This window comes from Homo sapiens, chromosome 8, assembly GCF_000001405.40.
Source record: "Homo sapiens chromosome 8, GRCh38.p14 Primary Assembly".
NCBI classification, from domain to species: domain Eukaryota; kingdom Metazoa; phylum Chordata; class Mammalia; order Primates; family Hominidae; genus Homo; species Homo sapiens.
This window is the reverse complement of record NC_000008.11, coordinates 2,565,646-2,593,121: the sequence shown is the minus strand read 5'-3', so window position 1 is coordinate 2,593,121 and position 27,476 is coordinate 2,565,646. Positions and strand designations below refer to the sequence as shown.

The window sequence follows — 27,476 nt, the reverse complement described above, 5'->3', positions numbered from 1 at the left end:
CACTACGCCCGGGAACTTTTTTGTATTTTTAGTAGAGACGGTTTCGCCATGTTGGCCAGGCTGGTCTCGAACTCCTGACCTCATGATCCACCCGCCTCGGCCTCCCAAAGTGCTTGGATTACAGGTGTGAGCTGCCGTGCCCGGCCCTTAGAATGTTTTAAATGCACGTACTTCCACTGTCGTCTACTTCCCTGTGTGAGGGAAATCTTTGAGATAGAACTTGTCCTCCCGTTTGCCTCCCGGGGCTTTCATTTTACAAATCTGTTAAAGTTAGCTGGGAGTTTCACATGAGAAAAGTAACATATGGACTCACATGTAGCAGATACAGTGCAGTAGCTGGAAGAAAAGCTATGGATTCATAAATATCTGGAATGCAAGTCCAGGCCCAATACTTGTGACCTGAGGCAAGGAAGATAATTGATCTCTCTGAGTTATAATTTGCACAAATTTGAGAAGATAATAACGTAAAGAGCAAGTACGTCATAGCTATTGCTGTGTATGTATAGCTTCTTGATACTTTTATCTATTCATTAATTTAAAAATATCTGTTGAGTGCTAGTCATTGCTAGCATTGTGATAAATAATAACTTGGTTTTGGAATCCAGTAGCAGTTAAAGATAGGAAAAGATCGTTAGTTTCTCCTGTGTTAACTTGAAAGCTCTTCATAGGAACTGTAAATTTTCAAGACAAGTAGAAAACAGGATTCAGGCAATCTGTTAGGACAATAGATTTTCATGATAAGAAAGTTTACTTAAGCCGAGTAAACATGCAAATTGATAATAAAATGCTTAGCTTCATTCTCCAACCCATTCATCACAAATCTTTTGGCAATGAAAAAAAACATTCATTTTTTAAAAATGAGAATTTAAAGTAGTGAATCCACAAAACACAGCTTTTCATTTTTAAACTAGTGAAAGATACATACATAGGTTTGCTGATGGTTTTCTATTCATCTAAGCCTCAGGGACAAAATCCATACATAAAAATTAAGGAGAACATATTCTAAAGGAATGATTTGTGTATTACTCCTCAACTGCTTTCATACAGTCAAGAATTTAAGAATAAAGATGTGTAGGATCTCATAAAATATAATTGGCTGTAGTTTAACTCTTTTATTCTATGAATGTGGATGATCTAAATCTAACTTTCGCCCTTACCATTTGGTAGAAATAACATTATGTTCCCTAAAATAACTTACAGTTTGAAGAATCATAACAAATATTTTTGCAACATCAAATTTTCTTATATTGGGGAATCAATGGTGCTGTTTTGTTTGTTGAGCTTTGAGCTGTGCAGTTGAGTTGCTAATGATCTGTTTGGATTACTACTGAGCACAGCAATTGGATGCATGACATATGCGAAGGAGGTTGTGTATCGTGGCTGTGTCAGCTGTAATTATAATAGATGGCAGGGAGGAAGACCAGCTACGCAGCAGTCTGGATGTGGGGCAGATTTAAACCAGTAATTTACAGATTGCTACGTGAAATTATTACAGATTACCAGGAACTGAAAGCCACTGATGAATGTCTTTCCTAGGGTAGATGCACATAATTATTATTGAGCTGATATTTTATATGTGTATACTTATACTTATTTAATCTTCTTAAATACATTGAGATTGCAAAGTGCTTAGGACAGCACTTTGCACAAAGTAAATGTCATACTGGTGTTTATTAAGTAACCATTTGAATAAATGAATGAGCTTCACCTAATAATCTTTCAATAAGACCAGGAGTTGCTCAGTGACAGTTACACAGAGTAAAATGCATAATGGCTTCTTACATAAGTCTAACTCTAATGAATAAGTGTGCTTAGATGTTAAGAATCATGTCATTCAGATACAGGGTACTTTTTTTTTTTTTTTTTTTTGAGGTAGAGTCTCGCTCTGTCATCCAGGCTGGAGTACGTGGAATACAGTGGTGCGATCTCAGCTCACTGCAACATCCGCCTTCCAGATTCAAGTGATTCTCCCAGGTAGCTGGAACTACAGGCACCTGCCACCACGCCTGGCTAGTTTAGTAGAGACAAGTTTTCGCCATGTTGGCCAGGCTGGTCTCAAACTCCTGACCATAAGTGATCCGCCCGCCTCGGCCTCCCAAATTGCTGAGATTACAGGTGTGAGCCACTGGACCTGGCCCCAAAATGAAAATCTTCATAGTAAACATAAAACAAATAAGCTACCCATTAACTAATATAAGTAATCATATTTTAAAGGGAACTACTAAAGTCACATCAATAGAGTATAACACCTGTGTAAACATTGGGAATAATTGTTTTAATATCAAAGGGAATTCTTTAGTGTTTAAGTTAATTTCTCTATAAAGGCATTAATGTTCAAATGTCTTCTAAGAATATTAGAAATTTTTAAAAAGTGCTTTGTAAAGATTATTCGAACACTGCATTTTTTTTTTATCCTGAGTTTGTTCTTTGTTGAATGTATCTTAAAGTTTCTTGGTACTAGTGTATTTAAGCTTTAATACATACATGTATAGGTATATATTTTAAGTGCTTTATAATCTAAAGTGCTTTCAGGCACCTGCCAGTGTTCATTTTTAAATGGATTTCTGCCTCGTTAAAAATCAGTATTTCAAACATTGCAGTTTTTTACGTGGTGACTGGGTGTGGGGCTCCTTTGAGGGACTGTGAGGGTCTGGACTGTAGCGGAAGTTATGGGTAGTGAAAGGGCTGCATGAACAAATTTGCTGTCCCAAATTTTGTGATTCCTTTTGAGCTAATGTTCTTGGGAAGGGTGTAACGTCTGTCTCTAGATTCACATTTTTTGCATGTGGATATCTTGTTTTTTTAGCACTGTTTTTTTTGAATGAACTATCCCCTTTCCATTGCACTACTTTTGTTCCTTTGTCAAAAACCACTTGAGTATATGTGGGTCCCTTTCTGGACTCTCTAATCTGTGCTACTGACTGATGTGTTCATTCTTTCTCCAGTACCACACTGTCTTGATTATTGCAGCTTTATACTAATTCTTGAAGTCAGTTAGCATTGTTAGCATTGCTGTAAGTATGTGTCAATCTTGGATGAATACTGTCCCAATGCTCCTAAAACTCCTCTGTCTCTCTCTGCCTGTATAAACGAAATCTTAACTTTTCTACTTCAGAACATGACTCTATTCCTCTGAAGTTTGTGTTTCTGGGTGGTCCATATACTTTGTGCCTGAAAAATTCTCTTTAAATTAGATTCTGAACTTTTTGATTATTTTAGGGCGACATGGCTACGGGGAGATTCTGGCTTATCCATTTTAAAGGATTCTTGTCCAAGCAAGGCCAGGATGATGAACTATCAAGGGTAGGGGATGAGGAATTTGATCAGATATCAAGGGTGGGAATTTTGGCAACCCAGCCGGATTTTAGCCAAAAGTGAGCTAAGCTGGCTGTGGACCGAGCCTAAGTTCAAGGCACAATCAAGAGACTCCGAGAAGTCTGACACACATTTTATCCGGAGAGAGCTTTTGCCAATATTCAGAAAGCTCTTTCTCCACAAACCAAGGGGTTCACCAGCAAAGCAGCTGACATGCCTGGTATCCATTTTGGTGCAGTCCCGGGGGAGGGACAAGAAACCCACCCAGGACCCCTTCCCTCCCCAGCCCCTCTACAGAACAGAGGCCTGAGTGTGAGGACGGAGGGAAACAGGCTCTGGGGCCTCCAGGGAGCTGGTGGTGAACTCTTACTCCAGATGGGGGACAGAATCGGGGGGAATAGTGGAGGATCAGGAGAAAAGAGGCTAGCCCTACCTTGACACCCAGGGACAAAGACAGGCAAAGCTGATGTCTAACCACAAACACACCAACCACAGGCCCGAACAGGGGGATGTTGGGAAAATATGATTAAAAACAATATTTCCCCCAGATCCAGAAAACCTCTCTACAGGGGTAGAAGACAAAAAGAACAATTGTGTCATTGAGTAAGTATTAAACTAGAATGGGATACACGTCACACTGCAGTCTGCTGAGAGATGGCAAAGAAGGAAAGAGATCTCATGCTTTCATACAACAGGCAGATACAGCCCGTTACAAAGTTGTTTTCAAGATTAGCGAACAGTAACTAGCCCTTAGGTAGAACAACTCCTCAGCATCATTGATTACACATAGTTCATCTTAGATTGACCTGGTAATTGAGATGACTATCTGTGTTAGCTAATTGGCTTTATCCAGTGGAAAATAAACTTCTCATATCCCAGTGAAATGATATAGTTTCGCAACTTGGAGCCAGGTGCCCCAGGAAATTAGGCTCCAACGTTCCCTCAAGAACAGAGACAGGGGCTCTATCTTCCTCAATGTTTGTATTTCAAAGAGATGGCTCCCAGGTCTTAGGAGAGGCATTTCTGGGTCATACAGTTGACAAGAGGCATATCTCATATTCAGAAGACTTCATATACATTTCAAAGAAAGGAGAAAGTACTTGTAATCACAAATTTGTGAAAATAAATTCTCTTAGGAAAAAGAAGGCAGGAAAACCTCTTCCCTTATTTGGAGAAGGAGAACTCAGCCTCTGATTTTTAATTTGCATTTATTTGTCCTTTCACTGGTTGGTATAACAAGCAACAAGAGTATACTTCTGGGAGAACAGGCGAGACACAAGAGCTTGAAAAGGGAGACTTGGTAAGGTCCAACACAAAGAGAAGACAACATTCAGAATCAAACAGAACAAGACTGCTCTGGCAAGCCACCCCACCCTGCACACAGGTTATCTGTATAAAAAAGGTAAAAGTTTTAGGTCACAGAGGGTTACTGTAGCACACACCAGGTCCTAGATTAATGCAAATCTCACAGAAAATGGCCAGCGAAGGGAATTAGTGGACATATCCCACCATAAAATCTCTTTACCTCCACCATTATAGTCCTTGAAAACATGCCTGGCTTTTAACTAAAACTTATAAGAAGTTCCATGAGAAGGCTAAAACAACCAACACACTCCTAAGAGACAAAGAAATTATCAGAAGCAGACTCAAACATGACACACATTTTCAAAATGTCATGGAAAATTTGAAAACACCCAGGGAAAAAAGAAAAAAAAATTACATTTGGGAGAAAACAGTAAGAATTACTGCAGATTTGACATCAGAAACCATGTCAGCCAGAAGATATATTAAGTTTCATGTTTTAAGTTTTTTTTCCAAAGAAAAAAAAGATAACACCCATGTTTATAGCAGTGCAATTTGCAAATGAAAAACTATGGAACCAGCCCAAATGTCCAGCAATCAATAAGTGGATACCATGCAATACTACTCAGCCATAAAAAGGAATGAAATAATGGCATTTGCAGCAACCTGGATGGAATTGGAGACCATTATGCTATGTGAAGTAACTCGGGAATGGAAAACCAAACATCATATGTTTTCACTTATAAGTAGGAGCAAAGCTATGAGGGTGCAAAGACATAAGAAAGATACAATGGACTTTGGGTACTCTTGGGAAAAAGGGTGGTGGGAGTGAAAGGGATAAATGACTATGCATTGGTTACAATGTACACTGCTTGGGTGATGGGTGCACCAAAATCTTAGATAGTACCGCTATAATACTTATCTGTGTGACCAAACACCACCTGTTCCCCAAAAACCTATTGAAATAAAAGAAATACATTAAACTTACATTACAGAAATTAAAAAAACAAACCCTGTCAACCCCAAATTCCATGCCCATAAAAGTATTTTGAAAAGGACTGATAAATAGTCAGTTAAAAGGAAAAAAAAATAAAAAAGAAATAAAGAAGGAAAAAGGGAAGGAAAGAAGGAAGGAAGGAAGGGAGGGAGGGGAGGGAGGAAAGGAGGGAAGAAAGAGAGGAAGGAAGAAAAAGAAAGAAAAGAAGGAAAGAATTTATTTTCGACAGGCCTAGTTTATAAAACATGATAAAGAAGCTTTTTGGGCCAGGTACGGTGGCTCATGCCTGTAATCCCAACACTTTGGGAGGCTGTGGCGGGCAGATGACAAGGTCAAGAGATCAAGATCATCCTAGCCAACATGGTGAAACCCAGTCTCTACTAAAAATACAAAAAACAAAAAAAAGAAGAAAAGAAAAAATAGCTGGGTGTGGTGGCACGCATCTGTACTCCCAGCTACTTGGGACACTGAGGCAGGAGAATCTCTTGAACCCGGGAGGAAGACGTAGGTTGCAGTGAGCCACATTTGCGCCACTGCACTCCATCCTGGCCGTAGAGAGAGACTCCATCTAAAAAAAACACACACACAAAAAAAAAACAAAAAAAAACTTTTTTGGCTGATATAAAATATGTTTCTGAAACTTGGATCAACAGAAGGAAACAAATAGCACTGGAAATGGGATGAATGAATTTAAAATTAATCTTTTTTTGTTTGAATTACTCTAAAAAATATTTTAGCAAAAAATAACAATAGCTTGTGTGTTTACTGTATGTGTAAACATAGAAAGTATGAGGAAATTGTACAAATAATGGGAGGGAGGAATTGAAGGGGTGAGTTGAAGGGGTTACCACTGTCCAAATATAAGAAAATATGAGCATGAAAAACTGATAGTGCAAAAAGAGTATTCTATGGAATAAAACACATAGAAAATAAAAATAAAACAAAATGCAAACCCAGCAGCCTATACTGGTAGAAATACATAAATGGATAAATGAGAAAAGCTATCTAATAAATAGAATAATGGGTTTGGAATACTATCAATGAAGTCTAAAATTAGTGGGTAACATTTTGAGGATAAACAAGATATTTGCATTATCTCAAATTATCCTTCCGTAAATTAGCTATTTATTGAAGTGGGAAAGTTTTTACTTTATATTTATACCACCTTATAAACCAAAGCGGGTATCGCCAATATTGGGACAAAAAGACCTTGGGTACCTTCCTATGGGAGGCATTAAGAAGCATTCTACAACACTTCCAGGTTTCCTGCCCAACATATGTTACCTTTATCTACAGCTAAAGGAATTCCAGGCAAATACAAATTAAGGTACATTGTACAAAATAATTATCTATAATCTTTAAAAATGTTATCATAAAAAGATGACAAAGACAATGATAGCTCAGAACATGTTTAGATTAAAGAAGATATAATAAGCTGGAACCTGGTCTGGAAGAGGGGGAATAACAGACATAGCTCCAAAAAAATGTAACTGAGAAAAGTAATGATCCTTGAATACACACAGATAACTGTGTTGTATCAATGCTGACTTTCCTTAGTTTGATAGTAGTTCTGTAGTTCTGGAAAATAATGTCATTGTTCTTATGAAATGCTGAAGAATTCCAGTAAAAGAGTCTCTAACTTCCTCTCAAATCGTTCAGAAAATGTACCTGTGGGCAATGCATACTTGTGTGTAGTTCTGTGTGTGTGTCTGCGCAAGTGTGTAGTTCTGTGTGTGTGTAGTTGCATGCGCGCGTGTGTGTGTGTGTGTGTGTAGGGAATGGGATGGCAGAGAGGAAGCAAATATGTGAACCCAAATCTAAGTGAAGGTTATATAATTTCCTTGTGCTATTACTGAAATTTTTGACACATTTACTAGTATATTAGAGTATAAATTTGCAAACATTTTTAAAATAAAGGTTAAATACCTAACGAATCTAAGTTCAAGCACCTGTGAGTCCAAGTCTCAATCTTTTTAAGGACAGTACAATGTATCTTCCAGTTTCTCATCATCTCGTTTTTTCCAAGACTAAGTAATCTATAAATATTCGACTTTATGGAGTAGGAAGGTCAATGAAAGAAATAGAATGCCCATTGGATTTCTAACGGATCAATGAGTGTCTCCAAAGGCAGACATAAAAATCATCAAATGTCAGATAATCTATATGAAATGTTAAGAAAATCATCGTTATCTAAGGAGCAATAATAGTCTTTATCTTTCTGTTAGATATTCTTTTCAGAATATTTTGGCTAACTTTCCTTTGACATACATTTGAATATACACAATAGTTTTAAAATGTCATCTTTGTAAAATCAAGTGGCTATATTTGTAGATTCCTCTCCCAAAAAACATCAAAGATTTTTTTTTACCTTCGCTTGCCATCCACATTAGTGTTTTATTCAAAAGTGATGAGCAATGTCTCCTGTGGGATTGACATATACAGTATCTTTAACGTGCTTTCTCAAGTCTCTTTTTATCCCTTTGCATTCTGAATTTTTATTTGTGATACAAAGTAAAATAAAGCCCATTAAACCATTTATTTACATGAAATCAGAGCATTTGTTCAGACCCAGCATGTGGTCTGAAGAAAGATATTCAAGCACGCATCTTTCTTTCTTTCTTTTTTTTTTCTTCTCTCTGATTGCACCATTTCTTTGATCAGCCCATGAAGGCTGTGGAAAGTCGGGATATTCAGAATGTAAGATGAAATCTTTGCTTTAACCCTCTGTGTTTAGTGTAGGTCCTGAACCTCAAATGTGGCTGTGCTGCCTGACTCACCAGAACTTCTGTGACAGCTCAAATTTCTTGTGCTTGGGTCCTCTTTGCTTTTTCAAGGAAGAATCAGTGAGGGTGATGTTTCATGCCCACTGATCCTGGAGACCTCCCGAGAGACCCTGGGTCCAGGGTGTGATCTGTAAATCGGTGATAAAGAGTTCCTGCCATAATCTCCATAGGAAAAAAAAAAGGAAATGCCTTATGTAAATATCTGTATCTGCTCATCTGTGTATTAGTCTGTTGTCATGCTTCTAATAAAGACATACCTGAGATTGGGCAATTTACAAAGGAAAGAGGTTTAATGGACTCACAATTCCACATAGCTGGGGAGGCCTCACAATCATGGCAGAGGGCGAAGGAGAAGCAAAGGCACATCTTACATGGTGGCAGGCAAGAGAGCTTGTGCAGGGGAACTCCCCTTTATAAAACCATCAGATCTCATGAGATTTCTTCACTATCATGAGAACAACATGGGAGAGACCCACCCCCATGGATTCAATTACCTCCGATGGGGTCCCTCCCACCACATGTGGGAATTATGGCAGCTACAATTCAAGATGAGATTTGGGTGGGGACACAGCCAAACTGTATAAATCTGCTAAGAAACAGTGTGCTTTTGTTGTTCGTTTATGCTAGACAGAGGAGAGAAAGAGAAAGGTAATATTCACCTATTAGTCGCCAAGTGCAATTATGGTGTAAGTAGCTGGATATAAGAGGTGGAGGTCAGGTCAGGGAGCGGTGGCTCACACCTGTAATCCCAGCACTCTGGGAGGCTGAGGCGGGTGACACGTGAGGTCAGGAGTTCGAGACAAGCTTGGCCAATATGGTGAAACCCCATCTCTACTAAAAATACAAAAAAATATATATTAGCTGGGCTTAGTGGAGGGTGCCTGTAATCCCAGCTACCAGGGAGGCTGAGGCAGGAGAATCGGGAGGCAAAGTTTGCAGTGAGCTGTGATTGTGCCCCTGCACTCCAGCTCAGGCGACAGAGTGAGATTCCAACTCAAAAAAAAAAAAAAGAGGTGGAGGTCAGAAAAGGAGCCATTGATGGAGTCCTAGATCCTGGATTATCAGCAGATAGATGGCATTTAAAACTGTAGAAGAGGGTGAGGTCAGTGAATACATCATGACAGGTAAAAGAGAGGAAAAAAAAGTACTTTCAATCAGATCATCCCTATCTGAGAAAGTTAAAAGATGGAAATAACCAGTTTGAGGTTAAGAACTTTTTCATAAGTTAAAATAAACCAGAAGCAGAAGGAGGTGTGTGGAAAAGTGGTGAGAATAGAGGCCTGTCGCTGAGGTTGTTCACTTTTTATTCAGATTACTTGAGTGTTATCGGAATGTCCAGGTGGGAGGTAGCCAGATGACCTCTAGCATAGACCATTCTACTCTGAATTTCTGAGCATTGTTCATCCTTTATAAGTGCCTATATTTGCAGTTAAAAATTAAATGGATAATTTCAAGACAAAAAACTTAAACTCTCCAAACTCTTTATCCTAAATCAGTGAAACAAACGAAACAAAAGCAGCTTTCCCATTCTTAAAACATCTATTATCTGCAAATGTTTGGAAAGAAACCACAGAATGTGAGGGTTTGTACCTAAATTAATCATTCAATGTCTGCTGCTAAAAAGCCCACTATCTGCAGTCAGAATCAAGAATTTGATACGCATGGAAAAACTTAAAAGAGACCACTAATTTTCCCAAATATTTATATAGATAAAATATGACCTTAGTCTAATTATGCAAAATCATTTTAACACTTGATTTTCTTGTTGAAAACTTAAATGTATCAACTGACTGAGCCTGTGATTTATTTAACATACATTTATTTTATTTCTGCTGTGTGTTGGGCATTATCAAGGGCTATAGTGACACAAATAAAATGAAATCCATACTTCTTGCCCTTTAGGAACTTGCATGATTTTGGAGAAATGAAAAATGAAAACAACTACAATAAAATATGACACTGGTAATGATAGAAATCCCATTTACTATTATTTTATTCAGTAAAAATGCCGTGTATTTTATGATAAAATGAAAGTCCCTATTAGTGTACTCAGATAGAAACTGCCTATCTAGGTCTCTATTCTAAATAGATTGGAAAGAGTGGCTGATGTGTTAGATTTCCCTTGTGTGAATACAATCTTTTTCTACTTATAAAGCTGTTTTATTTTTTTAATTGGTCAAGGGAAATAACCTCTTACTTATCAGGAGTTAAGTATCCATTCATTCTTCATGCTTTTTGTTTTAACATTTTCTTCACAGCTTAATGGACACCATACTTCTTGTTTCTCCTCTAAGCATTTTGAATCCACCTTAGTAAGTTCTTCTTCCTCTGATCTCTAAATATCTGCATAATCTAGATTTTCTTCTTCAGAACTCTTCTCTCGTCTACTTATCTTCATGTCTTCAATGACCTCAGCCTCCTCTCTTGTTTTAAATACATCGACTTGTTGATAATCTAGGATCTATAACTCCGTCAATGACTCCTTTCCTGACCTCCATCTCTTACATCCAACTACATGCACAATAGTTGCACTTGGCACTAACAGGTGAATATTGCCTTTCTCTTTCTCTTCCCTATCTAGCATAAAACAACACACAAAAGCTGACTATTTCTTAACTTCCTTCTTTCATAGAGCAAATAGAATCTGAAAACCAAGCCATTACTACAATTTTAGTCAATTTATTATCTTACATTTTTCTAGAAAGTGTGCATTTCAACAATGCAAGCTTTCAAATGTGTGTTATTCTAGTGCCCAGATTTAGGTTTCTAGTGGAGAGATGTTGACGTTCAAGTATTATTGTATCATCCTTGGAGTCTCACGTAAAAGCAACTGCTTTCTGTGGCTTCTAGGACATCCGCCTTCACCTTCCTGTTCCAAGTGACAATTTCCATCAAACAGGACAAAAGTACTTTCAATTTCTGTAAAGAGCAAGCATTGCCACATTCTCTTTCTCTCTCTCTCTCTTTCTCTCTCTCTGTCTCTCCCTCCCCCTCCTCTCCACCACTCTCCTGGATATTCTCTGTCAGTTATGCTCTCTACTTGCGGAGGGTTTCAGAAATGTTAAGGATAAACAGTCACCCACATGATGTTTTAAAAAGGCAGAAACTTTGGTGATTTTATCTACAACCGTATTGTGTAAAAAAGTCTCTATTTGACTCAGGTGGTTAATATATCTTTGTGACTTTGTTAAGTGGTAGGAAAAAATTATTACTTGGAAGAAACAAACTTACACAATAAACTAAAAAAAGGAAAAAATAAAGTAGCTGTTTTATAAAAAATAAAATTAAGTCCTTGAGAAACTTAAGTTCTAGAGCACATTTTCTATCTCGCTTAGCTCGTTATCACCATAAACTTTCAAAAAGAGGGGAAAGAAGTTTTAAACTTGACTTTTAGTCAATGCACGTTAGCATTTCTTTTAGGACACCTGTTCTACTGCTCCTTAAAGAACATCTATTTCAGGCAAGGTGAATAGTTTCAAATGGAGTTTTTCACCTAAGTCAATAGAAATCGAAATTTTTATCAAGAACTGGGAATTTAATTCTGTGTAGGATTAAAGAAAAAGCACCTAAGATTTGTAGATTGCCTTTTCACATTAAAGAACAAAGAGGCTCCTTTCTTTTTAAATACAAAAGCATAAATATACTTTTAAACTTTATTTTCTACAAAATAAATATTTGGGACACCATTCCCATTTTTTGATTGACTACATATTGTGCTCTAAAATAATGTTTGTATAGGTTTCGGGGAGGGTGCAAAGCATGGTAGCGTCCATGAAGACCGTGATATCTGGGTGAGCTGCAGAGAAGAAGTCTGTGCAGTACCCGGTACTGTGCCTGCACACTCCCACCACAAGCGGTCCTTAGTGGTTCTTGTCCTGTCCCCAACTGACCTTCCTCTGAAGACCCAGTTTCATGGAGCAAGAGCAGAGGGCTCTGCACAGGCCCCCTTTTACCCCTGTCTGAGTCAGTATGGTCTGCAGTAACAGGATACCATATTGGGTGGCCTAATGACAGACACCGACTTCTCACAATTCTGGAAACTGGAAGTGTGAGATCAGGGTGTCAGGTGCTCAGCCCTGGCCAGGGCTCTTCCAGGCGGCCCACCTCTGTCTTCTCACTGTAAACCCACATAGGGGAAGGGGAGGAGTGCTTTCTAGAGCTTCCTTTATAAGGGCACTAATCGCAACCAAGAGGGACCAACAGGGGTCCATCCTGAAGACCTAATCACTTCCCAAAGCCATGGTTTGCAAACACTGTTGCCTCAGAGGTTACATTTTAACATAAGGATTGAGGAGAGAGACACAATCTTTTAGTCCATAAGGAGCTAGGAGGTGGCCTGGACTCCAGAGGGACTCGGACACTGGACCAAATTGAGGACTAGCTAAAACAGGGCTGGATAGAAGCAGCCTCCGTAAGACACACCCTGTGTGCCATGCCAGTTTACCATTGCCATGGCAACACTCAGATGTTACCACGCCTTTCCATGGCAACAACCGGACAACCTGGAAATTATCACGCTCATCCTAGAAGTGTCTGCAAACACTGCCCCTTAATTTGCATATAATTAAACACAGGTGTAAATAACACTGCAGCACTGCCTCTGAGTGGTGACTCTGGGCTCACTGCCTAAGGGGTGACCCGCTTCATGGGGAGCAGTACCTCTGCTGCTGCTGCTGCACACTGCAGCTTAAGTAAAAGCTGCTGTTGAACACCACTGGCTGGCCCTTGAATTCTTTCCTGGGTGAAGCCAAGAACCCTCCTGGGCCAAGCCCCAACATTGGGTTCACCTGCTCTGCATGGATAACCCTCCCTAACCAGCCTGCCGCTACGCCTTAACATGGTATTTTGAGATCCACATTGTGCTACGCTTTAAAGTCATACATAAGTCACTACAATAATAACTGCAGTAACCTGCGAATCAGGGTGGGTCTTCACCATCCCAGTCCAGGTATGAGAGGGAAGGCATCCTAGGGTGAAAATAGGAGGTTTGCAGCATCTCTTGATACTGAGCAACTGAAGTGGGGGGTGCGTTGAGTGGTGAGAATCCCCGACACGAGTGAGGAAAAGCAGCAGCCCTGAGCTCTGATGCCTGTGGGGTCTGCAGGGTGTTGTGCTCAAGCCTGTGGCATACACAGGCCTTCGGTCTGTGTGGACGACTGTGTGTATTCATGTCACATGGAAATCACCTCTGCATCCTCTCACATTGGAACACCTTCCGGAGTATTTCTGTTACTTAAAAACAGAAGTCACTCTCATGCCCAATTTCACTTGTCTGTTTTTCTTCCCCTGTCTTTGTTGCCAGACAACAGACTAGACTGATTTTATTTTTTATTTTCACTCTGGTTTTTATTTCTAAAGAACTCTTTGCCTCCTCTCAGCACAGACGAAGTCAAGTCATTACTAGAACAACAGGGATTTCAAGTTGCCAAGTTTTAGATGGGGAAGATGGGGGGAGAAAAAGACCTTGATTGCCAGTGTTTAGGGAAATCAGAAGTTTGACTCTGGCAAATTAAATGGAAGATGACTGTTAGCTGTTCAAGTGGAGATAACTCAGTGAGCATCTTTCCCCTAGAAAGGCAGATTACAAATAAATACAGAAGCCTCCAGCACTAGTGTACGCACTGGACAAACACCAAGGGAAAACAAAATCAAAGAAGGCATCTCAGAGGGGCTGACTCATGAGCAGAAGCTGAATGGCATGAGGGCGTGAGGAGTCAAGTGAACTACAGTGAGGAGGATTCCAGGAGGAAAGAAAATCCAGAGTGAGGTCCAGGGTTAAGAGACGGCTTTGTTTGTTTGAAGGCCAGTGGCGTTGCCTGCTTGGAAGGAGCCGCCACACAATGGCAGGGGAAGAAAAGCTTGAAAGAATATCGTGAGGTTACGAGGAAAACCTTAACCCATGTTCATGGTGAGACATGGGGTAGGGAAGTGGAGGAGAAAGTTGGAGCTGCATCTAGATTTCAGAAGAGATGGAAAGAATGAATGCACAGTGGGTTGGTGGCCAGCGCATATTTGGAAATCAAATTCTGACTCCAGACTGCTTCAGCAACCAGCCCGGAAGAGTCAGGACCTGTCCATCCACTGCCAGCTTCCCAGTTGTTTCCTCTGCTTATGGGTCAGCACAACTGAGATAAAGCTGAACCCCTCACCTAGGATGCCCTGCTTCTAAGCTGGCTGCCACCAGCATCCCCAGTTGTAGTCCTCGTTCACCACCTTGACACCTGGCAGCTGGACACAGTGAGGTTAACCCTCCTTGGACTTACTGTGTGTAAAAGGGGGCATAGAAAGAGTGGATTCCATACAGAATTTAGTGGTGACAAAGGAATTGTAAACTTATTTTGCTAAGAGAGGACATCTTCTAGGAGATCCTGTTGTGGAATGAAACACTGCCCAGAGAAACGATGAGGACTCAAGAGCCAGAGCGCCTGTCTGCAGGAGCGAGGGCACATCCGACCGTGAGGGAGTGCAGGCAGGAGGCAGAGGCGGGTCACTAGTCACCATCAGGACAGCTCAGACAGAAGAGACGTCAGCCAGTTAGTGCATGCTGTGGTGAGAATGCTCGGACGTTCAGTCTGCTTAGTATCATCAACCTCGTGAAAATTGCTATTGAGTGAGAAGAGACCTAAAGAGAGGGAGTACACAGCCACCAGCCATGGTGGCTCACATCCATGATCCCAGCACTTTGGGAGGCTGAGGCAGGAGGACCACTTGAGGCCAGGAGTTTGAGACTAGCCTGGTCAACTTACCAAGACCCCCATCTCTACAGAAAAATGTTAAAAAAATTAGTTAGGTGTGGTTTCACGTGCGTGTAGTCCCAGCCACTTGGGAGGCTGAGGCAGGAAGATCATTTGAGCCCAGGAGTTTGAGATCAGCCTGGGTAACATGGCAAAATCCCATCTGTACAAAAAATACAAAAAAAAAATAGCCGGGCATGGTGGTGTGCGCCTGTGGTCCCAGCTACTCAGGACCCTGAGGTGGGAGGATGGCTTGAGCCCAGGAGGTTGAGGCTGCAGTGAGCCATGATTGTGCCACTGCACTGCAGCTTGGGCGACAGAGCAAGACTCTGTCTCTAAATAAATAAAGAGAAGGATTAGAATAAGGATCTGAATTGTGTAGTTTCTGAATTCAGAAACCTCGTAGTTCTGAGAACTTTGGCCACCAATGGGTTGTGAGCTGGAAAGTTAATGTCGCTCTTTGGCTTGGGTGTTTCCTGAATCAAGTGAGTCCTTTAATTGTGCTAAGGTGAGTAAGGAGCTTAGGGTGGTGCCTGGATCACAGCCAGGCTCCCAGTAAGGGAGCCATCCACAAGAGGATACACAATGCAACTGATTCCACTCCTGAGGTCATACGTGAAGCATTACGATCAGAGGAGCAGAGACATGGATCTGATTCTCAGCCGTGTCCAGTACACACTGACGTGGCCGTCGGCCTCCTGTTTGCCTCAGGAGTCAAGCTGACGCGGCAGGAATCGCATTGCCCTGGGTGCCAACATGCTGTGAATGAGCGCAGTGAATTCCGCTTTGGTTTCCCCCACTTTGTACCAATGATGGTGCCTGGAGTAGTCTCAGTGGATTTTCTCTCATTAATATTTCTTGATCTACCCATTGCCTGTGTAGAGATGTAACAGGACAGGATATTTGCATGGAACTGATCCCTATTAATAAGGCACTTAGAATAGCACTGGGAATGTGTTCGTGTTTGATATGGTTTGGATCTGTGTCCCCACCCAAATCTCATGTTGAATTGTAATCCCCAATGTTGGGGGTGGGTCCTGGTGGGAGGTGATTGGGTCATGGGGATGGAGCCTTCATGAATGGTTTAGCACCATCCCTTTGGTGCTCACCTGTTCTGGCCATGTAACACGTACCTGCTTTCCCTTCGCCTTCCGCCATGATTGACTATTTCCTGAGGCCTCCCCAGAAGCCACTGTGTTTGCTGGACAGCCTGCAGAACTGTGAGCCAATTAAACCCCTTTTCTTTGTAAATTACCCAGTCTCAGGTATTTCTTTATAGCAGTGGGGAACGGGGTGGGGGGAACAGAATAATACGGTGTTTCAAGATCAATAGGTATCAGTTGTGTTGCTTGAATTTTAGACCACTCCCTCTCCTCCCAGGCTCCTACTTCCCTTTCTTGGAGCTGGCATAAGGAAAGGGTAGGGAAGCCCCAGGAAACGCGGATGGACCGAGTGGAGCAGCTTCTTAGGCTCCATTATCCTGGCGGCTCCCTTCTTGGCCTCAGGACTCACCAACACATCTGGCACACAGCAGACGTTTAGTAATATTTTCAAATGAGTGAATGCATCCACAGGGCAGACTCAGAGTCCTGTGAGAAAGCATGAAAGACGGGAAGCAATCACTGCTTTTCTAATGACATAGTCAGTTTCATTAGGAATTTCAAATATCAGCAAAGGAATAAAAGAATGCTAGGTGCAGTTTATTTTATGTGACATTTGTATCCTCATGTTCGAAGGCATTGCCTACATTTTTGGAGAATTTTCTACCAAATTTTCTTATGTACTTCTCAATTTACTTTTTGTTTCTATCATCCCCTAAAGGTCTTTGGGTAGAAATCACTTAGCAGTGGCCCCACAGGTGGTAACGTTCTAGTCTGTTTTGTTCTTATGCCTCCAAAGTAGTTTTTTTGCATGTTGTATATGATCAATACATGGCCATGTATTTCACATGTATTGAAATAAATCCTAGCACATTTCAAAGCAGTACCTGACATTCTACAAGCTTTCTGAGTGGAACTATGTAAGGCAGAAACATTCTGGACTGGAGAAGAAAATATTTTGTGGCAGGGAAACATACTAGAAAATTGACATTAGATCTCAATCCACTGTGAAAAACAAAATAGAGATATTGAAAGCAATTTCTAGTTACTATAGCAACAAGAATAGATTTTTTCCCACTCTTTGTAGATCATGCATATTAGATTTGAGTATCTATGCTATATTTCCATTTGTATATATTCAAATTAAAAAACATTCCCCAATTAAACTTTTCTCCTTTGCTGCTTCCATCATGTAGGAGAAAATAAAACTCATTTAAAATTAGAATTAAATGAGCCTTTAAATTATCAAAAACAGAAAAGCAAATGGGGAAATAGCTTTCAGATGTTTTATTTGCATTGGAAATCTCAGCCAATATTGTACTTCAATTGACCTGTGTTTCCATTCCTGCCACATACATCCTGGAGGCTATGAAAACGTGAGTGCCTCTCCAGCCCACAGCTCTCTCATACCAAATTCTAGTTGCTTAATTTCAGAGAAGGAGAAACCCATGAGCTCGGGCTTCCAGGTGATCTATGAGAGCAGGTTCCTGGTAAAAGACAAGGATTCAAGAAGGGAGCCCCTGAGTGTGTAGGCAATGAGATTTCAAGCAGAAGGAGCAGTTGAGGCTGAAAGGTCTGGGTTTTAATCTGATCTTTGGTGCTTACAGCTGTGTGCTTGTGAGTCTGTTTCCTCCACTGCAAAATTAGATCAATCACCATATTGAATTCAAAATGTTGTAAAGTAGATTAAATGAGATAATGTACATAAATCTCTCAGCACCGTGCATGCCATATGGCAAGCGCTCAATAAACATTGATTAATGTTTGTATTATTAAAATGTAGAAAAACCATGGGATTTCTTCAGACCAAATGAGTACCTTAATACTAAATCATAAATTCCCAAGTTAATACAATACATATATTTACATTGCTTATTTTATGGCAAGTCTGAGAAATATCATGGGCTAAATTTTGAAGATGAGAGAATGCTAGGCACTGGCAAATTAGAAAATTAAACCTCCCATTTCTCACTGAACCTTTTGGAAAGGCAAGAAAATGAATATCTAAGATGAATGTAATATGCTCTGTGACAGAATTGTAACTAGCTCAATGGGAGCACAGACTGGTGAGCTGCTAATGGAACTTGGAGAGTAGGCCTCACTGAACTTCCCATTTCACCTGCACATTAAAATACCAGTGCTGGAAAAAAGAAAAGAGAAAGGGCCTTATACTTCCCGATTTCTAGTGTCTATCCTATTTGGTCATAAATTACAAATTCATAGTTACCTTTTAGTTTTTCCAGCACAAAGTGAAAATTGGATTTGTCCCCTTAAGGAGGAGAAAAGACACCAACAAGGAAATAAGTAAAATTGACTACAAGGTAGACAATAATACACGATAAAGAGAGAAACTAGCAAAGAGCTCAAAGGCAGAAGGCAAGACTTCTGAATGGAGGCAAGATGTGGTATTTGAACCAAGGATTAAAGAATGCTTAGAGTCTCGAGTGGCTGAACGGTGTCAAGGAGGCAGGCAGGAAAGGAACAGATGGACAAAACTCAGACCAATTCATTGTCCTGAGCTGCTTTATCTCCTTATGTGGCAATGAGTTATTACCTATGAGCAGATGTGAGCAATATTACATTAAGAGTACACTAAGTACTCTAATAAAATGAACTTTAAAAAAATCTGCATAGTGCAAATGCTACACTATTCTTACCAATGTATACACCCACCTTTCAACTTGTTCCATAGCTGCACTTAATGTTTCAAGTTGATTAGATCAGAAGGAACAGCTCAAGATAAAGAGCTATTTAATTTTTCAAAGAATATGCTCTTTAACTTTTACCAGATATGGTTTGATACCTGTGTAAGTCTGTTCTCACACTGCTACTAAAGACACACAGGAGACTGGGTAATTTACTTAAAAAAAAAAAGGTTTAATGGACTCCCAGTTCCACATGGCTAGAAAGACCTCACAATCATGGCAGAAGACAAAGGAGAAGCAAAGGCACGTCTTACATGGTGGCAGGCAAGAGAGAACCTGCAGGGGAACTGCCCTTTATAAAGCCATCAGATCTCATGAGACTTATTCAGTATCAGGAGAATAGCCCAGGAAAAACCCGCACCCATGATTCAGTTACCTCCGGGTCCCTCCCAGGACAAGTGGGGATTTGGGTGGGGACACAATTCAAGATGGGATTTGGGTGGGGACACAGCCAACCATATAAATATCATTAGAAGTATTTAGGAGGAATTGGGTATTGTTATAGTATAAAAAGCTAGTGTGAGAAATCATTTAGTCACATGGTCTTGAAGCCCACATTTCATTATTATTTCAAGTTCTGATAATGTAACCAATATATGTAATCCACACACGTTGAAGTCTTTTCTTTATTGTATTTCAAGCCATGCACATTTTGAAGCCAAAGCAAGCTATGCAGAAAACAAGACTTGAAACAAAATATAGCAACTCTGTGTTAGAGGTTTATTGCCTCTGAAGTTTTTGTTTGGCTTTATGAAACATCTAACAACCATAACTTAAGTGTTTGAGATTTTTTTAATAAAAAGTTCAAAGAGTTTGTAGAACTTCCATTGGATCAGCATCAGAATTCAGATATTTCTACAGACACTTATTCTTACAGGAGCTGAATGAACGTCTGTGAATCACTTAAATTACACTGTGCCTTAGTGTCAAAATATATAAAAGCAGAGTTTAGAATGAGCTCTCATATTTTGGGAATATACATGTTTTGATATCTTTTAAAAAGCCTGGTCTCTAATTTGCAGGTCACCATAAATGACCAGTGTACTACATAGGCCAATCAGTCATTTATGATCAGCAGAAATTGTGTAGCTTCTCAACATGATTTAAAAGAATATCTTCCAAAAATCAGTCTCATAAGAATGTGAATTTTACCTAATAAGACACACATTATTCATGAATCTTCATCCTACATATATACCTGATATTTAAAAACATTCTAGATTAAGACAAAAGAGAGACAGGTAAGACTTTGATTTGAAGGGTTTCTTCTCTCAGGGCCCATATGGGATTCAGAGGCAATATGTGCTATTAATTATAGACAACTATAGTCCATTCTAAAACAGTCTGTACATTTCATCTAGTTGATCTTTAAGCTGAAACTAATTACAGAAATTTCTAACCCAAAAGGATTATTTTTTTGCAAAATATGAATAGAGTCAAACTATATTATAACAAAAACATCCTTATAATTAAAATGAATGAATAAGCAAATATATACTTGCGATGACATCATATGCATGCACTTCAAATTATTCATTTTTATTTGCAAAATGACATAGACATTTTCATATCCTGGGAGGTAATGTGGCCTCGGGGAAGTAGCTGGAATTAGTGTTATTTTCTTGTTCCTCCAATGCTGAAAGTGAACCAGACCAATGTGCATGAAGTAAGTGCTTTCTGCCTGGAATGTGACTGAGAAAATCTAATTTCAGAACCTGGAAACTTTTGGTCCTCATGGGATAAGGATGGGTTCGGATGACTCTCCCAGTCTCACTCTATGATGATTTTAGTGCCCTGTAGCACAGAAAGCACTTCCTGTCCATTTTATATAAAAAAGAATTGCCCAAAGCATTAGGTTGTAATTCTTTAGACTATGAACTCATTGAATTTTACTTTTTCATACTTATTTTTGTAGATTAGAGATGGCTGAATTTTTTTTTTTTTTTTTTTTTTTTTTTTGCTGCTTCTCTAAGAAGAAGGGTCTATTTTTTTTTTTCTTCCTTGAGCCAGGGCTGGTCTTCACAATTATTCTTGGCTAATTTATCATGGCCGACACAACAGTCAGGGCTGTCAAGGCAGGGCAAGGCGAAGTTGGCCCGCTTCCCTCCAGCCCAGTCTCCCCAGTCTCCATGGAGTCCAGCTTTTCTGAAGTCTTCACACTACGGGAAAGCCCAAAGTGACCACATGCAGACCCCAGGCACAGGCCATGTGAGACAAGAAACCGTGGGAGCCTTCCTGAGTCCGCAGATGCAGAAGGGAGAAGAGAAGACCCCCCCTCGGTGCGACTGAGCCACCTGACCTCCCCGATGGAGGCGGCGCGGCTGCTGCTGAGTTCTGCCTGCATGTCTAACCCACAAAACCATGACTACAATATACAGCTGTGGCTTCATGTGACTGCAGTCTGGGACTGTTTCTACCATAGATAGTCAGGACACTTATCTTCAGCCAGACCATTTCTCTACTATCCCACAAAAGGGAATATTTACACATCTGACTATAAAGTGCACTTATCTCTCTCTTTTTTTTTTTCTTGAGACAGAGTCTTGTCCTGTTGCCCACGCTAGAGTTCATTGGTGCAATCTCGGCTCACTACAACCTCCACCTCCCGGGTTCAAGCCATTCTCCTAGCTCAGCCTCCCCAGTAGCTGAAATTACAGATGTGCACCACCATGCCCAGCTAATTTTTTGTATTTTTAGTAGAGATGGGGTTTCAATGTGTTGGCCAGGCTGGTCTTGAACTCCCGAAGTGATTCACCTGCCTCAGCCTTCCAAAATGCTGGGATTACCGGCATGAACCACCTTGCCCAGGCCACTTATGTAGCTTTTAGCTGTGATTTCTTGTCTTGTACAAGACAATATACAAATTATTATCACCTTTGTTCTACTATAATCTAGACTTTATCATATAAAGTTGAGTTTTAAAGGCCCAAAAAAGTATTTGTAGAAAATTAATACTATTTATTATTCGTGAAAAGTCATGATTTCTTTTCAGATCAAATTATCTGTCAAAAACCTTATCAAATAGAAAACAACTCATAAATAAAATGTATTTCTCATCAAGTCATTTGAAGTGTATACCAGGCTGGGTATGGTGGCTCATGCTTGTGATCCCAGCACTGTGTGAGGCCAAGGCGGGAGTATCACTTGAGCTCAGAAGTTCGAGCCCAGCCTAGGCAACAAAGTGAGACCCCACCTCTACAAATAACAACAAAAAAAATAGTTGGGCATGGTGGTATGTGCCCATAGTCCCAGCTACTTGAGAGGCGGAGGTGGGAGAATCACTTGAGCGTGGGATGTGGAGGCTACAGTGATCAAGTCACTATACTCCAGCCTAGACAACAGAGCAAGACTGTCAATAAATAAATAAATAAAGTATGAATTCAATTTGCCTCTTAATTTCCTCCCTCCTTCCCTCCCTCTTTCCATTCTTTCTTTCTTTCTTTTCTTTCCTTCTTCCTTTCTTTTTCTTTCTTTCTTTCTTTCTTTCTTTCTTTCTTTTCTTTTCTTTTTCTCTCTTTCTCTCTCTCTTTCTCTTTCTTTCTTTTTCTCTCTCTTTCTTTCTCTTTCCTTTTTTTTCTGGGTGGTCTCATTCTGTCACCCAGACTGGAGTGCAGTGGTGTCATCATGGCTCACTCCAGCCTCAACCTCCCTGGGGCTCAGGTGATCTTCCCACCTCACCTCAGATCCTTGAGTAGCTGAGACTACAAGCACTCACCACCACACCCAGCTAATTTCTATAGTTTTTTGTAGAGACTGGATTTCACCATGTTGCCCAGGCTTGTCTTGAACTCAAATTCCTGGGCTCAAGTCATCTCTGTTAGTTTTCTTAATCATATTGATTTGTTTGTTGAGAACTTAACTTCCCTTGTCTTTTCCTGAATTCTTATTTGGCACTTTCATGTGGGTGAGGTTGACATAGTACTTTTCTCTCCCTGCTTGGTTAGCTTATATTAAAACAGAAACAGTGCTATGAGCAGAGGACCATAACAGAGCAGCTGTGACCAGCAGTTCTTTATTTTGTTTCTGGCAAACAGACGTGTTTCTTCAGGTGCAACCATTATGGGGTAGCTAGAGCATATTTTGTGAGGAAATAGAAGTTTAATTAATAAGAATTAAAACTCTGAATTACTTTATTAATTGAAAGTGCATCATTTGTTTACTTGACTTGGGAATTCCATTTTCATTTAATTCAGTATCTTAAATGCTGGAAGTTCGATGTGAGTGAACGCATCAACTATTGCATTAGCAGGTCAGTTTTACAACAAACTGAATGCTATCAATTTAAAGAAGCTTTAAATATTTTGGAATAAAATGTCAGTGAAGTTTCTAACAGAAAAACCAAACCTCAGTATTTAGATGTAGCAAGCTTGCCATCTACTGATCAGTAGGATTTGTTTAATGTAAAAGGAAATTTTGAATATGAATGTGGCTGCATCTGAAATAGTGATATTAATATTTTAAAGCAAAACGGCTTAACAAGTAGCTTCCTGGTATAAAGCCCTAGGCTGAGCCTTGGGGAAGATACAAGGAGGGTATGAAGCTGCAGTAGGCTTCAAAATAATTAGTTTGGTAGGGCATGTAAGATGCATGCACAAGTTTGTTAAGGAAACATACAAGGTGTCTTGTATACAAAAGGTGGGACAAACAGGCCTGGGACATGTTCTCCACCATCTTCGCGCCCCTCGGCAGCAGCCTGGCACGCCCGCAGCCTTTGCTCTCTGTCTCTCCTGACAAACCCACATGGCCTCCCCAAAGCCCACATTCTAGAAGCATTTGTCTTCAGGTGCTATTTCAGATAACTGTTTATTATTAGTATTTTGGAAGAAGTGCAAACAAGGTACTATGGTAGGATAGTTCTCATGTCAAAAAAGAGGTGCAAGCAAAACACTAAGGTTTGTCACAGCATAACAGCACTCGTTGGCTCCATGATCAACTCCAGGTGCATTGAGCTGTAAATCAAAAGCGGAGCCCATGGCGGGTCCCTGCTGCAGGTGGTCCCTGCAAATTGCTGATGTAAATGAAGTAACATGATCTAGATGTGACTCCTACCCCTGTAGTCTAAGCAGTAAAAGTTCAGATAAATGAAAATAGTATGGCTTCTATCAAACTCTAACGCATTCCATAATGAAAACAAATAGTGCATTGTTTATTCATTTAATAACTCTTCCCCATATATCATAATAAAGAGCATCATAACTAACTGCCAGACATCAGGACAGATATGACTGGCCCATTTTCTACGTGCAAAAATTGAATCTGTAAAAATTAAAGTGAATGATCAAGGTCACGAGAAGCCATAACCCTCCTTGTGTCTTCCAGTCAAGCCAACGCTTTTGCAGACAGCTTTTTGCATGGTTGCACGCAGCTCCATATGCCATAGACAACCATGGTGTACCACGTGTGTAATAATATGCTGTGTACAGTGCGATCTATTTAACAACTTTGAAAAACTACAGGGAAAATGTCTACGAAGTTCATCATAGGATAAGTGACTATTTGAAAATTAATTCAAAAAGTTTGTTTTCCCAAAGTAAAATCTAAAGTTCTTTCCTGTATGCAGAAACTATATAGGAATCCCAACCCCTTAGGGAAGTAGAAAGCATTTTATTTTACAATAAAGTTCTAAATTAGCAAGTGCCAGTTTAAGAAACAAAAAGGTGAGTTTTTTTTCCTTTGTGAGGAACTACATTTAATTTGCACGTCTAATTGATGATGATTCTATAACTATTTTACCTTTTTGCAAGATTATTTATAAGAAGAGAGCATATGATTGGAAAAAAAACATATTGGATCTAAGATGTAGAAAACTTTTCAAATACTATCTGTATAAAATGTCTATTATTGGTATCTTTCATTGGTTTTTTCCCCCATTTTTTCTTCTCTTGTCCATTTAACTGGTTTTATTTTGTTTTTATTTTATTTATTTCTTTTTTGAGGCAAAGTCTCTCTCTGTCACCCAGGCTGCAGTGCAGTGGCATGATCATGGCTCAGGGCAACCTCAACCTCCCAGGCTCAAGAGATCCTCCTTTTTCAGCTTCCAAGTAGCTGGAAGTACAGGCACATGCCACTATACTTGGCTAATTTTTTAAAAATTGTTTTGTAGAGATGAAATGCTACATATCAAGCTGTAACAAGCTGGTCCCGAACTCCTGAGCTCAAGTGACCCTCCTACCTCCCAAAGTGCCTGGATTACAGACGTATGCCACTGTGCTCAGTCCATTGAATTGTTTTTTTTTTTAAATATTGAACTGTTTTTTTAAACCTTTACTCTCAATTTAGGCTAAAAGAAGCCCTATAGAAAGCACTCAATCATTTCTGCAAAGGGGTTTGAGGGTATAAACACACAGTGGGAATAAAAAGTGTGTGTCTATGTGGGCGAAGCGTACTACTGATGCCTCGGTTGGGAGTGTAGCCACGTGATGTTTTATGTAGTCAGCCTTATTCTCAGATGAGGTACCAGGTTTCACTTTTTTAGGTATGTGTACCAGATTCTGGAGTCAGAATGCCTTGTTTAGAGGCTGCGATGGAAGAATCACCAGAGCCCTGGAGGTCAAGGCTGCAGTGAGCCAAGACTGCACCACTACACTCCAGTCTGGGTGACAGAGTGAGAACTTGTCTCAAAAAAGAAAACAAAAAAAAAAAAACCCTAGTTGTAACATAAACTAAATATGTGACCTTAAACAATGTATTCAAACTCTGTGTGCCTCAGTGCTCTCACCTGTGAAATGAGAATAACGCACCTGCCCCACATGGTTGGTGAAAGGGTTGGTTGTAAACACAGGGAGGTACCAAGAACATGTTCAAGACACAAATTAAGGGGCTTACTGTTACTGTGGTCATTATGATTATTACTATTTTGGTGGTTCATTTCCATTTTCTTCTCTTCTTTTGAGATTTTAATTTCATAGGATTAAAATAATTTGATTATCCTTATCATTAGTTTTGTAATGACCTGTTAAAATCTCAAACACGATGAAATATATTTCACATGATATGAGATACAGGAATCACTCAAGGAAGTAAAAAACCAAAAGAGATAGAAGTGATCAGGCTGAGGCTTCACCATGTGACCGGCAGGACTTTTTTCTAGTCTGCTCATGCTGCTATCACAGAATACCAGGCTACAGGGGATTTACAAACAGCAGATATTCATTTCTCACAGTTCTGGAATCTGGAAATCCAAGACCAAGTCACCCAGAGATAAATCTCCTGTGAGGACTGGCTTCCTGGTTCACAGATGGAGCCTTCCTTTTTCACAAGGGCCCCAATCCCCACTCATGAGGCCTCCACCCTGTTGACCTGATCACCTACCAAAGCTCCGCCTTCTAATACTATCACATTAGGGGTTTATAATTTCAACATATGAATCTGGGAGGAGGTGACACAGATATTCAGACCATAGCAGACACGTTTAGTGAATTCCCAAGAGGTGTCTACAAGAGAAAATGCAAAACTTGTATCACTTGGAAGCACCTTCCCAACATCAGCTTCTAAGCCATCAGCTTGTTTTCAGATTTTAAAAAAATGTGATAACTTTGAAACTAATGAGTTTGGACATTTGAGAACACTGGTTTGAAAAAGTGAGACACAAACCTGGCCCCGGCTCCACCAGCAGTGAGCTGCTATGGTCATTGGCAAGTCGATGAACTGCTCTGTGCTACAGCTTTCTTACATGAAATATTTAAGAATGAATTTGAAGGTGTGGATTTGTTGTTCCCAAATAAAGCCTACTAGTATTGATACATTTCATTTTAAAGAATTATTCATTATTCTAAAAAGAGTTTACAATTTGAAATGCTTCCATTTGCCTATAATGGTGAAGAAAATCATCAAAAATTTCATTTCTAAATTGTTGATTCTATGAATATTTTCTCTCCCCTGCTCTTTACTTCTGTGTATGTATGCAGGCAAATCCCACCAGCCAGCCAACATCCAATGAGAGACAACAGTGCCTTATTAATCCAGTGATGTGGACCTTTATTCTAAAGTCGGTAATGTTAGTTAGCTAGGCAGATGTGAGCAAGGCAGGAGGGCTCCCCAACCCCCACCAGAAATGCCAGGTGACCATCAGGCAATGGTCAGGTGGTTGTTAAATTGTCTCTCTAAAATCATAAGAGGTCACAGCTGATGCCAGGGAAAGGAAGTCTCCTAATAGATGGAAAGCACCTGAAACGTGATCAGCAGCTTCCCAGTAAGATCTCAGGACTAGGAAAGTGGGCTCAAGCATGCACCCTAAGAGGAAAAATGGGGGTGTTTCACTGGTATATGAGCTTGCTCTAGGAACACTGAAATGGTAAAGGAAAAGTGTGTCAAGTGAGTCTGTCCACAATTTCAGTGAACACACTGTTTATGCAGCCCTTCCTAAGTGCTGGCAGCCCACTGCACACGCAATAGCCCAGCCCCAGGGGAAGAATTAGGGGAGAAGAGAGGCAAGATTCTGGAAATATGCCAGTGTATAAGACCCCAAGTCAAGGGCTGAAGAAGGCACTTGGATCCCTCAAGTTACCTACTCGGAAGAAGGCCAAGTGTAATTCCTTCCA

The 27,476-nt window shown here is 40.1% G+C and overlaps 1 long non-coding RNA gene across 2 annotated transcripts in view; it reads left to right on the top strand.

Moving 5' to 3' along the window:
• Positions 1–27,476, top strand: part of LINC03021 (long intergenic non-protein coding RNA 3021) — a 198,360-nt gene that overhangs the window by 135,330 nt on the left and 35,554 nt on the right. Inside the window, exon 5 of one of the 2 annotated variants that reach the window (NR_125423.1) lies at positions 1,873–3,137. The exons of the other annotated variant lie outside the window; for it this stretch is intronic. This is a non-coding gene — a long non-coding RNA (long intergenic non-protein coding RNA 3021). Of the gene's footprint in view, positions 1–1,872; positions 3,138–27,476 lie in introns of those variants that run through there. 2 annotated transcript variants of the gene reach the window in all.